Source organism: Homo sapiens, chromosome 6, assembly GCF_000001405.40.
Source record: "Homo sapiens chromosome 6, GRCh38.p14 Primary Assembly".
Classification (NCBI taxonomy): domain Eukaryota; kingdom Metazoa; phylum Chordata; class Mammalia; order Primates; family Hominidae; genus Homo; species Homo sapiens.
In genome coordinates this window covers 125,564,483-125,579,608 of record NC_000006.12, presented here as the reverse complement: position 1 = coordinate 125,579,608, position 15,126 = coordinate 125,564,483, and the positions used below count along the sequence as shown (strand labels likewise).

The 15,126-nt window shown below is 39.8% G+C and overlaps 1 long non-coding RNA gene across 4 annotated transcripts in view; it reads left to right on the top strand.

Annotated features, from left to right (window-relative positions):
* The window catches only part of HEY2-AS1 (HEY2 antisense RNA 1), a 171,898-nt gene extending 169,817 nt beyond the window's left edge, over positions 1-2,081 (top strand). For all 4 annotated transcript variants that reach the window (NR_183491.1, NR_183490.1, NR_183500.1 and 1 more), the window contains one exon: positions 884-2,081. This is a non-coding gene — a long non-coding RNA (HEY2 antisense RNA 1). The remainder of the gene's footprint in view (positions 1-883) is intronic.
* The last annotated feature ends 13,045 nt before the right edge of the window (positions 2,082-15,126 follow it).

Genomic DNA, 15,126 nt, shown 5'->3' with positions numbered 1-15,126 from the left:
ACTTACCTAGGCTTCAGTTTCCACATCTTCCTAAAGATTTTACAGGACAGTTCTGAAGGTTAGGATGTAATGATAGATATCTAGCATGTAGTAGACACTCAAATATTAGCTATTATTATAAGCTAACATTTTCTCTGGTAAAGGAGCCAAGTTTTTTACTAACGTAGGTTATTCTCAGACTGTTGGTCAAAGTAGAGGTTCTCTAGTTCGGAATACATGGTCAAGTGTCCTGTGGTGTGTTTAATATAAATAAAGCAGGTTTTTCAGAAAGATGTTAGTAGTTATATTTGTTATTGTTAGTATGATGTGTGTGTGTTTGTGTGTGTGTATGTGTGCGTTTTAGTTTCTTCAGATATATTTAACTAACTTATTTTAGTTAAACAAGTGTCCAAACAAAATTGTGATCCTATGTGGAGAATTTCAGCTAAGGTCAAGTTCCTAAACTCCCTGATAATCTGAAATCTCTCCTTAGAGAATTTCAGATAATGGTTGCCTTTTGTATTACTCTGCCTAGGTTAGTGTTGGGTTGGTAGTGGTGTCCCCAGGCCAATTTTATAGAACGGAAGTTTCTTCAGTTAAATGTTTTTCCTTCCTTGGAGCGCCATGCTTATTTCTTTAGCACAGTAAAGAATGCTATTGGGATAGAAACAGATCATTTTCCTTCTGAAATATGTTCTCATCTTCTTGCATAGTAATAGACCTACAATGGACATGGGACTATCCAGTGAGGACTGCACACACAGATCTTCTTCAACAAGGGGGTGTCATGTGACTTGGCTCTTGCCATTGGAATTTGAGCAGAAGTGAAGTGTACCACTGCTGCCTCCCTTGCTTAAGAGCAATGCCTTGGCCTTGAACTCCTACTTTTTCCCTCTTTCTCCAGGAACTGTGAAGACTAGAGTGACCTTGGAGATCTCATCTGGAAGATGGTAGAACTGCTATCAGCCTGGCTTCCCAAATGACCTCCTGGATCACAGCTACCCATGGCCTGAAATGTTGACCTTGGAGTTGTTGCATAGGAAAGAAATAAACTTCTTTGTTCTTTGAGCCACATAGTTATCACATATCTTCTTAAAGCCACTTACCCACTTGTTCTATCTCATTCAGCTCTGAAATTCTGTTTAATTTCTAGAGTCAAAACATTCATTTGTTTCTTCTTTATTTAACAAGAATCAATTACTTATTTTATGGAAGCCACTATTCCAAAGAGAAGAATCATAAAAACATTAGCCTTATGGATCTTTTGTCCTGGGAACAACACAGAGTGGAGACTACTGGAATTTTTAATAAAGTTCCTTTCCTGGGCAGTGCCAGTCCAGACCTAATTTCCAGACTTAGTTAAGATTAGACCAGTGTGCTGAAGAATCAAAACATCTAGATATTTTCCTTGCTCCATTCTGCTTACAGCCCCACAAAAACTACTCACCCCACAGGGTTTCTTGCTTGAGATTCCAGACAATTCCTGTATGTTTTATTAGAATACACTCTGTGTTTCATCCAACTAGGAAGCCTTTGGCTCCGACTTAAAGCATTAAGAACGGACCACTTTGGTATGGAAAATTATCAGTTTTGGGGGAAAAGCCCCTGTTTCTCTGATCTGTGCTCTGAATTTGGCAGCTTTGTAGGCTTTCTCAAAGAGCCGCAACTGTGAACCATGTCATGTTGTCATTATCTCTGATATGCTCTGTGCATTGGAAATCCTGTGTGAGACTGGCAGGGGACAGAGGGAATGAAGAAATCACATTCATCAGAACAAGCTGCTCAACTTCCTTAAGTAAGGAGTTTGTCTAACATCCAGTGGTTTCCTCTGACAGAGTGTGTACTTTCTTAACATACGGACAAGATTAGTACATAGCCAGAATGACTGTCTGCAGGTCCTAGGCTGCTTTTCAGAGGCAGCTTTAATCTTCCTAATTGAATATTTAGCTTTTCTAGGCCTGCACAAAATGTAAATCACAATGTTTACAATCTGTGAAATAATAGGAGAGTACATAATGTCATTGCAATATTTTGTAATCACTGTTAAATGACTAAAATCTATTAAACTCAATCATTTTAAATTAAACTTCTAAACTTCCCCATTGCAGGTGATGGCAACTCCATTTTTACAATCGCTTAGGCCAAAAAAACTTGACGTCATCCTTGACTCTTCTTTCTCTCTCATCTCACAAGCAATTCATCAGAAAATCCTGTCAGCTCTGCTTTCAAAATTTAACCAGAATCTGATTCCTTTGCATCACCTCCACTGCTACCACTCTGGTGGAGCTGCCAACATCTGTCACATAGATTAAGTCACACACACACACATGCACACACACACAGAGTGTATTCTCAGTCAAAGTGATCTTTTTAAAAGGGAAATAAGGCCATTCTACTCCTCTGTTCAAAACTTTCAAATGGCTCTCCACTTTTCTCTGAATATAAGCTCAAATCCATACAAGGACTTGTAGAGCCCCCGTTACCTTCTGACCTCATTGCCTCCTACTCTGATCTCTTATGCAGATCCTGCCCCAGTGGCTTCCTTGTTGCTCCTGGGTCACATAAGGAATGCTCTTGTTATTTGTTCCAACTCTTTCTCAGTGCCCTCTCCTTGATGTCTGCTTGGATATCTCCCTCACCTTCTTTAATTGGACCTCTACCTTTCACCATATACAAAAATTAACTCGAGATGAATTAAAGATTTAAATGTAAGACCTCAAACTCTATAAATTACAGAAGAAAATCTGGGAAATTCCCTTCTCAATGTCAGCCTTGGCAAAGAATTGATGGGTAAGTCCTCAAAAGCAATTGCAACAAAAAAATTGACATGTGGGACCTAATTAAACTAAAGAGGTTTTGCGCAGCAAAAGAAACTAGCAACAAGTAAACAACCTATAGAATGGGAGAAAATATTTGCAAGCTATGCATCCAACAAAGGTCTAATATCCAGAATCTATAAGGAACTTAAATCAACAAGCAAAAAACAACCCCATTAAAAAGTGGACAAAGGACATGAACAGACAGTTCTCAAAAGAAGACATATAAGCAGCCAACAAACATGAAAAAATGCTCACCATTGCTAATCATCAGAGAAAAGCAAATTAAAACCATAATGAGATATCATCTCACATCAGCCAGAATGGCTATTATTAAAAAGCCAAAAAATAACAGATGCTGTCAAGACTACAGAAAACAGGGGACACTTACACACTTTGGGTGGGAATGTAAATTAGTTCAGCCACGGTGGAAAGCAGTTTGGAGATTTCTCAAATAACTTAGAACTACCATTTGACCCAGCAATCCCATTACTAGGTATGTACCCAAAGGAACATATATCATTCTACAAAAAAGACACATGCACTTGCATGTTTTTTGCAGCACTATTCACAAAAGGAAAGACATGGAATCAACCTAGATGTGTATCAGTGGTGGACTGGATAAAGAAAATGTGGTACATATATACTATGGAATACTATGCAGGCATACAAAATGAAATCATGTCTTTTGCAGCAACATGGATGCAGCCGGAGGCCATTATCCTAAGGAATAGAAAACCAGGGCCGGATGTGGTGGCTCACACCTGTAATCCCAGCACTTTGGGAGGCTGAGGCAGGCAGATCACAAGGTCAGGAATTTGAGACCAGCCTGGCCAACATAGTGAAACCTCATCTCTACTAAATACAAAAAAATTAGCCGGGCGTGGTGGTGTGTGGTGGTAATCCCACCTACTTGTGAGGTTGAAGTGGGAGAATCGCTTGAACCTGGGAGGTGGAGGTTGCGGTGAGCCGAGATCGCGCCACTGCACCCAGCCAGGGCGACAGTGCAAGAGTCCGACTCAAAAAAAAAAAAAAAAGAAAAGAAAATGAAACCAAATACCACATGTTCTCACTTATAAACGTGAACTAAACATCAAGTACATGTGGAGATAAAGATGGGAGCAACGGACACTGGGGACTGCTGGGGTCGGGGAGTGTTAGAGGGGGTGCTGAGGAACTGCCTATGGGTGCTGTGCTCACTGCCTGGGTGACCAGATCATTCATACTTCAAACCTCAGCATCCCACAGTGTTCCCATGTGACAGACCTGCACACGTATCTCCTGAATCTAAAATAAAAGTTGAAATTGCTTTTAAAAAAAGACTTGGCTGAAATATCTCCTCTTTAATAAGGTCCACTGGGACTACCCTATTCCTACTGTCCCTTGCTGTCCCACTCACTTACCCTATTCAATTTTTAAATTCTTATTGCCTTCTAATTTACAAGGTAATTTACTTAATGTGTTTATTGACTCTCCCACCTACTTCTACAATACAATGAGGGCAGAGATCATTGAGCACTAGATCAATGTGTAGCACATAGTAGGCAGCTTATATAAATTTTCTGGAAGAATGAATGAATGAAACCTACACATTATGAGGTTGATTCTTTTGTGAGTGTGACATGAACTGTGACAGTACACTCCTCCAAGGTCTGAATCTGTGAAGTCACCTTCTTTCTTTGCAGAGGAAAACATTGGGGGGCCCTGAGGAGAAGCCTTTGCTGCAAGTGGACCACAAATTATGCAAGGAGTCTTGGGACAACATCCCTGGTAAACTCTTTCTGTGTTACATTTCGGGATGATGGACGTGGGTGTTGAGAACACTCTGTTTTTGGAGTTAGGACTTGTCCTTGTTTTCAATTGGAATTTGAATGACTGAGAAAAGCTGTGCAGATCGAGTTCCCTGCCTCCTGCACAAATATTTCCTGGTCCGGTTTCAGGTATCCCTTTCCTTAGGTGGGTTTGTCACTGAGGGATTAAAGCGCCTTGTGATTCAGAGCCTGGGCTGTCATGGTGGTGCTGACGCACGTGCAGTATCTTGGATCTCTATTCAGTTCCTCATTCATGCTCACCTTCAGGCTGAAATGAGGAATTTGGGCAGTGAAATCAAATGCCTGAACCTGAGGAGCACCCGCTGTTTGCCGTCTGTCCACCTCTCTGATCCCAGGACTGCCCTGCCTCTGGTGGAATGAAAGTGAGGTGAGAAGGGCAGATATCACAAATAAGAATAGGAGAGAACACTGTATACATATTAGGGAAATCTAAAGAAAAAAGATGGATGGCAAGGGCTGGAAGAAGGTGAATATATGGCAAGAAGAGATAGGTTGAAACTAGAAGGGGAGAAGTCAGGCTGAGACGCGGAGCTGACCCACAGGACTGTTCATTTGCTGTAATGCGCCCTTACTCCCTGGCATTTCCAAGCATTATGTTTCCTGGTTGCATGAGGAACATACTATTTATTTTTTTTCTTCATAAAATCTGGGAAAAGCTACTTCATCATTCAAAGTTGGAATCATTGCCAATAGGGGAAGAAAATATTTTTCCAAAATCTGCAAGCATGAGTTGCTTTAAAAATGTAGAGATTAAGAGGCTCTCAAATGACCCTCAGACCGCTAACTCACTTTCCAAGATATTCCACATTGGACTTCTAGCCATAACGAGATATATTCTTTTATACATCCAAATTGATGCTCTCCACACCACCTTTTGCAGGCTGGTTTCAGTCACTGGGAAATTTATGAACAGCAAATTACCTTTGTTCAATTGCTTCCTGAATATATGCACTGCAAGAGTAGCAGTGATTGTGAAACAGCAATGTATTGACAGAAGTCAAAAAAAAAAAAAAACTTAAAAAAAAAAAATGGAACCTATACGAAAGAGACTTTTCAGGTCTTGGGAGTGTCCAGTACAGGTCTTAGCAGCCTATGGAAAGGCCCTGTGTTGTCCAAACAGCCTCCTGTAAGGTAATGGCCATAGCAGCACATATAAAAGGAATGGTGGAAAGGTGCAAAAGTCATTAACGGGGAGAAATAGGAAGCAATCAGCAACACTTTAAGCAAATTATTACCATGAAATTACACTCCCAGCTTGAGATAAGTGTCCTGGATCTGTTAAAGCTATATACACCTCGCTGGCTTAAATGCGACTGAGGAAAGTTTTCCTCTTTGGGTTATTTATGAAGTGTTAGGTCATGATTGACGGTGGTGCTTGAGGAAAGGGGGGGCTGCCCAATTCTTCCCAGGCTTTCTGCAATGGCTAATTCCCTGTATTGAAGATTTGAGGAGAGAGGCTTTGCAAATACTTACTTGGACAAGAGGCTATCTTTCTGAAGGAAACTTATTGGACTGACTGCATTTTATTGAGGAGTTATTTTGAGTTGAAAAGTCCAGTGCTCTTTCCTGTATTACCATGGGAATAAGAATGTGGGTGTTTGCTGCTGGAGCTAACTTGGCATCCTAGTGGCTCCCACCCATGGCCCACTCTACTGTAAAGGGCTGTTTTCCTTTCTCCAAGAGTCTTGTACCTCCCCATATCCACTCCTCTGTGTTGAATATTCCTGTGACCAGGCCTTATGTTAGGTCCTATCATCATCTCTTGCTCCATCTTTTGGAATTGACTTTCAAAATGTTCTCAATTCATAATGACTCAGAAGCCAATGGATGTTTGCTTTTCTACCCACAACCCCACAAGTCTGCACATCTTGAGCTGCAGGATGATCCGGAACCAATCTCTTGCCCCCTTGATGCCCCATCAACAGCAGCTCAGACCATTGCACTTGGCGTGCAATGAGAGCACCTCTCTGCTTCAAGAAGCGTCATTCTCTGCAGCACACTTGTCTGTTTTTGAGTCTCTTGTCCGGCTGGCTGTGCTTTAACCTATTTGGGCTACACTGGTGTGTTGCTCCTCAAGGAACCAAGCTGGTACCCCGTGGCCCTAGGTGCTTTGATGGGCAGTGAGTTTTTCTGGTGCCTAACACTCTTCTATTGTATTTGTTTCCTGGATACACTATTCCAGCTCTCAACAGCCATCCTAGAGGTAGTGATAATTCTCTTTTACAGTTTCCCTTTGTTTCTTCTTGTATTAATCACAAGGAAATCTGTGAAAACATAAGGCTTTGATTTTTTTTAAGACTTTGAGTTGGATCTTGGATGTTCATTTTTGCAGAGAGGCAGAGGAGTTGGGGTACATACAGGGCATAATAAATTCAGACATATGGGGAATATAGAAGACTTGATATAAGTAAGGAATAAAGTTAATGAATTTTGATGTCATTGTAATACAGATTAGAACTGTACTCTCAAAATCTGTACAGTACTCTCTCAAAAATCTGTACTCCCAAAAATCTTAGAATTGTAAAATATTAGAATTGAGAGAGGATGTAGAAAAGATTGTGTTTAATCTCAAAATGAAAACAATAGTACCATCAACACATATGGTAAATATTGACATCCAGTCTCTCAAACCTTCTAGAAATAAGGAACTTGCAACCATACAGAGAAACCCATTTCAGTTAAAACAGCCAACATTGTTAGATATTTTGTTCTCTTATTTAAGTGCCTCCAAGTACTATCATTCTACTGCCATGTTTTGTCTTCTGGTGATATGTGAAAAATTAATAATGCAATCTTTGAATTGAAAGAGACGTGGAAAAAACACTATTACATATTACAGTTCTTTAGATCTTTTCCCCAAATGAAGCCTCTCTACTTCTTTCATTTCTTCATTATGTGACATGGTTTCAGATTAGTCTTCAGTTTGGTCTCCATCTTTGTACATAATTCCTATGAAAATTTGGTTTCCAGGTGTGATAATGGTGACAGCCACAGAGTTCAGTTGCTAAGGGAGATTCAGGGAACCTAAAAAGACAATGCTTATGGATTTATGATTTATTGTAAGCAAAAAGGTACAATATAGCAACAACATTAAAATAAAGATGTACATCACAGCCAAAGGTTGGCTCACAGCAAGAGATGAAAGTCTGGACCAAGCTCTAATTATGATCCCTTCATGTCTAGCATATCCTGGACATGCTTTCCTCTTGGATAAGAAAATACCAAAGTGTACAAAGAACATCTTGGAACAGGGATCCCAAAATGGATTCTTGGCTCAGGCTCCTTATAACTTCCTGTTCAGGTAGCCATGTTTCTTGCCTTGTAACCAGATCCAGTGGCAGAGTCCTGTAGGAATCTCACCAAGACTGGGTGCGAATCATCAATCTTACTCTTGTCAAGAAACAATGCTGACAAGCTGTTAAAACCACCCTGAAACTTGCCTTGAATTCATGGTTACAAAGCAACACTTTGTACATAAAATGTGCTTCAGCACATTTGGTGCCTGGACCGTGAGTCAGTGCTGTGTAGATACATCTCTTACTTCAGCAAAACAGCTCAGGCCAATTCCAGGTTTTTTGAATTAATACTTAGATGTGGTCTGACTAGTTCAGAATATGATGAGATAATGTCTCTCATGTTCTGGACACTATTGTCCAGCACTCATTTTAAAATATTCTCTGTGATCTCCTCTCTCAGCAAAAATCTCTGACACCTCTTCCTATTGGTTCACACTAAGGATGAACCAATCTTATTGAAGAAGGAAGTTCAACCAAAGTATTATTTTGCTAGCTAGTGGGATCTGAAAATGGTCTTGTCCAGCAATCTGGAGAGATTGGGTGATTTCCAGGGAGCCTCGTGTCTACTTGCCTTTGCCTTGGTTCTGGCCCCATCTGGACTTCGTCATGTATTCTTCTTCTGGTTCTTGGTCCTTTGCTTATACTGGAGTCCTTTCTTAGGCCCCTAGTTGACATGGATAAGTCTGAGCGCCTCACAACATTTTTGATAGCCTCAGATCTTAGCTCCATCCATACTGTGAGATCTTGCTGAGGATAAACTTTTTATCCCAAATTGAGACTCTATTACCTAGTGAGGGGGAACCACCCTCTTCCCAGTCCCCACGGGCAGAGCTCCTTGTATGGCCACGCTGGTCTCAATCAGTCCCCCAGGGTCCTGGGCCATAGAATATCCAGCTGCCTGCATGGGGCTGCTCCTAACTGGCCAAATTCCAGGACTCTCCCTCTTTCTTACCACTCACTCTACAAGATAAGACCCTGGCATGACTCCTGTATGAGCAATCCTGGATTAAAATAATAATTCAAGCAGAAATAATCTTTCAGAAGAAAAGCTAAAATAAACCTGCAAACTAGATGCAAAACAATCTTAAGAGACTTAGAACTGGAAGGAAACTCAGAGAGATCAGCTAGCCCCATGGTTTCTAAAGGTTTTTTTTTACTTTTTAGGAACTGAAATGTAGTATTGTGTGGATGTATATGTGAAATTAATCAAAATGGATCTGCTCAGAGGAGGGGATAGGTATAGGAATTAGATTCACAACATGTAGACCATTCGGGCCCCCATCAGGCTTTCTCCTTTGAGGAACCACTAGGTAACCCCTGTAGCACAGTTTGAGAATTACTAATCTATTCCAATGGCTTTATTTTAAAGAGAAGTATTTGAAGACCACAGATATTCGAGATTTTCATAACATCAGTCTGAATGCTGAAATCATTTTATGGTGTTTGTTCTTCTTAGGGTTCAGGAAAGCAGAAGTACCAGGCTGTGACCAAACCTGTGACTTACTTCTTTCCGTCTATCAAATTTATATTAATTTGCATTTTTGAGTACATATTGCATGCAAGATGATATCCTAGTGCTGCAGGACAGGCAAAGAAGACTAAGACATAGGTGCTGCCTTTTGTGAGCTCAAGCATCAGTGGGCACATACATAACTATAAAGCCAGACATTAAGACTCGTGTAATAACAATTTTCAAAATGTAAATAGGATTTTTAAGGCAGATGGATTAGTCAGGTTCTCCAGAGAAACAGAATAGAGAGAGAAAGAGAGAGAGTGTGTGTGTGTAGAGAAAGAGAAAGAAAGAGAAAGAGTGAGATTTCCCTCTTCCTCAGGGGAGGTCAGTCTTGCCTCTTAGGACCTTTAACTGATTGACTGATTGAATGAATTGCCCACCTACATTGTGGAGAGCTGTCTGCATTCTTAAAAGTCTACTGATTTAAATATTAATCTCATCTAAAAATTACCTTCACAGAGATATCTAGACTGGTGTTTGACCAAATATCTGGGTACTGTGGCCTCGCCAAATTGGTACATAAAATTAACTATTCCAGTAGAGAAAATTTTGTCTTGAGGAAATAAGGACATCCTCAGGCATGATAAGTTATGTGAGGGTTAGGAGAGTTAGGAATGAAAAACATTCTAGTGTGGGGTAGTGTGAGCTCAGACAAACATCTGAGAAAACAAGAGGCCTGCACAGCTAACACTAAGTGGTTCACTTTCAAAAATCAATTTAGGAAGCAAATGGACATGATTCCTAATGCATGGACTAAGGCTCATTCTAAACAAACAAGTTTTAAACGCCATTACATTCAGGCATTAACTAGAAATGAATTAATTTTACTGAATTCTAGCATCCTTCCCCTCATGCCTCTAACTGGTTAATGTGTAAATATTGCCTCCTAGTCTTATCCCTAGAAATTAGACTGTTCAGTCACAAGTTGTTCCTTTGTGTGGGCACTAATTGAAAAATCTCTTTGTGAAAAAGAGGGATCAAACAATCTTTGATTAGGTGAAAGCTCACGTTTCCTTCCCAGTTTGCTATATAGCTAAGCCGTACACACACACAAACACACACACACACACACATACATATATGTATTAGTCCATTTTTGCACTGCTGATAAAGACATACCCAGGACTGGGCGACTTACAAAAGAAAGAGGTTTAATGGACTTACAGTTCCACATGCCTGGGGAGACCTCATAATCATGGCAGAAGGCAAGGAGGAACAAGTCATATCTTACTTGGATGGCAGCAGGCAAAAAGAGAGCTTGTGCAGGGAAACTCCCATTTTTAAAGCCATCAGATCTCATGAGACTCATTTACTATCACAAGAACAATGTAGGAAAGACCCGCCCCCATAATTCAATCACCTCCCATGACACATGGGAATTGTGAGAGTTACAATTCAAGATGAGATTTGCGTGGCGACACAGCCAAGCAATATCAATCTGTCTCTCTATAGATCCATCTATCTTCTATTCATATTTATATATGTATATATAAAAATGTAAGTATTCTTACCAATTTTCTTGATGTTCCGTAACAATTTGCTTCCAAATGCAGGCAACTCCTAATTTTATCATATGCAAATTTAGAGGATGAAAATATTACTCCTTACAGGCCAGGTTATCTACTCATTTCTGTTACAATTTTTTTGTGTGTACAATTGTGCTTGTTTTATGTTTTCACTTTCAGTGTTATCAGATCGTTGTTTTGACTACTTTTGAGTATACATTGATAGTATTTCTAATGATTAAAGAGTGGTAAAATTTAGTAACAGCAATAAGACTTTGATACATATGACAACAATGTGCTGCAATACTTTTCTGGATAGTGACTGAAGAAGGTAAGTGTTATGAGCTGAATACTGTGTCTCCCCAGAATTTATATATTGAAGTCCTAACCCAAAAAGTGATGGTATTAGGAGGTGAAGCCTTTGTGGGGAAAATTAGATTAAGATGTATTCATGAGTGTGGAGCCCCCATGATGGGATTAGTGCCTTTATATGAAGAGGAAGGGACACTAGAACTTCTTTCTCCACCATGTCAGGATATAGCAAGAAGGAAGCTGTCTGCAAGCCAGGAAGAGAGCCCTCACTAAAACCCAAATCTGCCAGCATCTTGATCTTGAACTTTCCAGTCTCCAGAAATAAATATCTATAATTTAAGACGTTTAACTAGGTCTGTGGTGTTTTGTTATAAGAACCTGAGCTGATTATGACAGTAAGATAGATGCATTTTTAAATTATTTCTTACACATATTTTTGAGATCTCTCATCTTCTAGCCTCTGGAGTAGGTCCTGGGAAACAGAATAGCAACGAGAAATTGACTTAATTTTAAGGAGTCTGACATGAGAAAATTATTATTGGAAAAATAGAATTCCAGAACCGGGGGACACAGGACTGGGGTGACATACTCTACTGGCCTCAGGTTGGCTAGCCACAATAGTCAAGGACTGCTATCCAGAGGAGGTGAGGCTACACTGGGTCTTGGAGGAGGAGTGTGCTTTCATCAGAAGGAGGAAGGGCTGGCCTTCTAGGCAAAGGAGCTAGCATGAGCAGTATTAGGCAGGTGTGAAGCACATGGTGTGATCAGGGAAAGCCAGCCAGTCCAGGGGGCCTGGAGGGTATGTGGAGGTGAAAGGGAAGGAAATGAGACTAAGAGGCAGAAGAGCCAGGAGAGTCTGATTGCTGATCATTTTAATACTATTCTATTTTTTCCACATTTGGGTCTTTATCTTTTGATTTTTACAAAAGTAATGCATGTTAATGGTAAAAATTGGTATCTCTCTTAAATTTAATTCTTTCGTAAGGTAAAAGGGGCTGAAACCTAACCCATCTTTTTGGGTTGAAATTCAGTAACCCATCTTTTTGGGTTAGTGCAGTGGCTGATTTTAGCTGGTTTGACCCAGAAATATGCACATCTTGTACTTTCCATAGAAATCCCTACAATGCCTTCTCTAACGGAAAATAGTAAAGACAACAGAATACTGAGTAGCATTTGGTGGAGCAAACAGATTGCCATATGTTTGGATGTTCAGAGCTAAGTATGTACAAATAAACTCTTATCAGACAGCCATATTGTACCACCTTAAGTAACTCCTACAAACAATTAAATAGCAGTTTATAATGGATTAAGCGCAAAATAAATGTTCTCTAGTACTGCAGTAACAATTCCAATGCAATTGGAAATAGCCATGTTTGTTTGAAATTATTTAAATATAAATTCACTATTGAACTATTTGTAACATTTTAAACCATCCTGTGAAATGAAATAATTGTGTTGAAAGTATCCCTAAGAATTCATTCTGTTATTTGGACATATCCACATAAACGGAATAATTCATTCAACAATAGAGAGAAATAGATTCTACAATTTTCATAAATACCTTAAATAATCTCCATAGAAATACAGGCTTTTCTTTCATTTCACTCACCTATGCTATGCCATAGCTTAAATCTCTTTGCTCTTTTTTAACAGATCTTAATAGAGATGGAGTATATTTATTCGCATCCTCTAACAAGGAGGTTGTATCTGCTTATCTGTCTCCACCTACCTGTCTTCACTCTGTGCCAGTGGGCACAAATTCATATTGACCAATTGCTTGATTACAAATTCCCTCTTCGAATTCTCTCCCTTTGGGAGTGACACATAACTACTATCCTTTCTATGAGTAAAGAAATTGAACCACAGAAACAAGTCAACCTACAAGAGACAATCTGCAAATCTCTTTGAAGAACAAAAGTTTATGTCGTTAGTCTCATTAAACATATTGCCCCACACATTAGTTGCTCCTGAGAATCACAGGCTGTGGAATAATGAACAAGTGTAACCACTGATTGCTTTCTCTGGAAAGTAAGTTATAGAAGTGATTTGAAGAAGTTTTGGAAGGAGGAGACTACACAGTTCTCAGTGAGGCTGTGTTCTAAAAATATTGCAGAATAAGATTGCTATAGAATTTGTTGTTTGTCGGAAAGCTTCTAATTGTGGGTTGATGTTTCAGTGTTATCAGGGGATACTCTTGAATCATTATGCACAGTGTATTCATTTATTCCTTTTTTTTAATGTGGAAGAAGTTTAAGTGTGAAGATTTTAATATCAGTTTAAGTCCCATTACGTTAGATATTTTCTTAGACCCTAGCCAACAGAAACAGAAAACATATTGAACTAAACAAGTTAGCATTCAGATGGATACCCCATATCCTGTACCATATTTAAATAATTTAAGAAAAAGTCTTGATGCTTGCTTTCTCCTCTCCTATACCTTTTCCCATGGCATTGACTACCATTAGATATTCAGTATTATGATATATTGCTACTTTTTGAAAAGGATAAATATCCAAAATTTGTACACAGAAGCTTCTAATAGAGAATCTGAATGTACCAACTGAGTAACTGAGGGAAAGGGGATGATTCCTTACAAGGTCCTGAGTACTGTTTTTACCCTCAAGCATAATGTGTTTCTCAAGTGTGCTGTGACCTTGGTACCTGTCACATGCAGTGTGGTTTGCACAGGAAAAGCCAACAAAGACATATTAGGGAATCCTTCCTGTTCATTAAAGCCCTTCTATTTTGTAGAAGGTATTTCTCTTTAGTTAGGTAGGATCTGAATCAAAAGAGTGGATTTGAATGCTCCCTGGTCTAATTCCAGTTCTTTCAATAGGCCATGTGGTTGCTCAGTCCATTCTATCAGGTAGTGTTTCTGATTCCTCCTCTTACCTATGACTCCAAAACATTATCATGAGATCTTCTCCTGAAGCAGTTTCACAGTTGGTTGTAATAACCAAGGTCCGAGCTGTTAGAGACAGGAATTTTATGCGCCTGGAAATAAAAGACAACCCCCACGCTCTTCTCTGTGATAACTGAGAGAAACAAGATGGCAGATTCCGCATTCTTTTCCATTGTGTGTGGGGAGTGGGGAGTGAGTGGAGGGTGGAGTGAAGGCAAAGACAGGATAGAGGAAGGAGACTTAGGGAGGAGGAGAGAGACTGGAAAATCAGCCCAGGGCTGGTATCTGGGGAAGGAGAACCAATACCTCTTTTGTTGTCAGGAAAACCCTGGGCACAAAGGGTGAGTTTGAGTTTCACTTCAGGTCAGTTGAGGGCATTGTGAAAAGGCAGTTTTCAGACGGCCAGCTTGACTGACTTACTCTGAGGTAATTAAATCACTACGTTAGGCGGCTGACCATGAAAGCAGAAAATACAAGCTCACAAAAAGAAGAAAACAAAAACTTTACATTTGTATTTAATTATATTATTAAAATGTTTACCGTTCCATATAATCATTACGTGGGTCATATTTGATCACGATGGAGTTTCTCTAATTGGTTAAAAGTTTTCTCCATTCTTCTTGTGGGACAAAATTTGGTTTTATTTAGTCGTGTTTTATTCAGGCATGCAAGGCTTCCATGCCATCTGACTTTGTTTTATTCGGGCTGGGGTTTTGGCAACTTCTATGGTAATTTTCTATTTTATTTCCTCTCCTCAGTGATGTCTGTAGTGATGGGCAGCCAGTTACCTGAGAAGGAATTATTTCTCAGTCCTTCATTTGCTTTCCTAACAAACATTTTGTTTCTCAGACTCTGAAATGCACAGCAGGCATCATACCGGAACAGTCATCTGCTGTGCTCCCGAGAGGTCCTACAGAGGACCTGTTGGCCTCAGCACTTCCATTGTGACTGCCTCATTTTTTCCTCCTCTA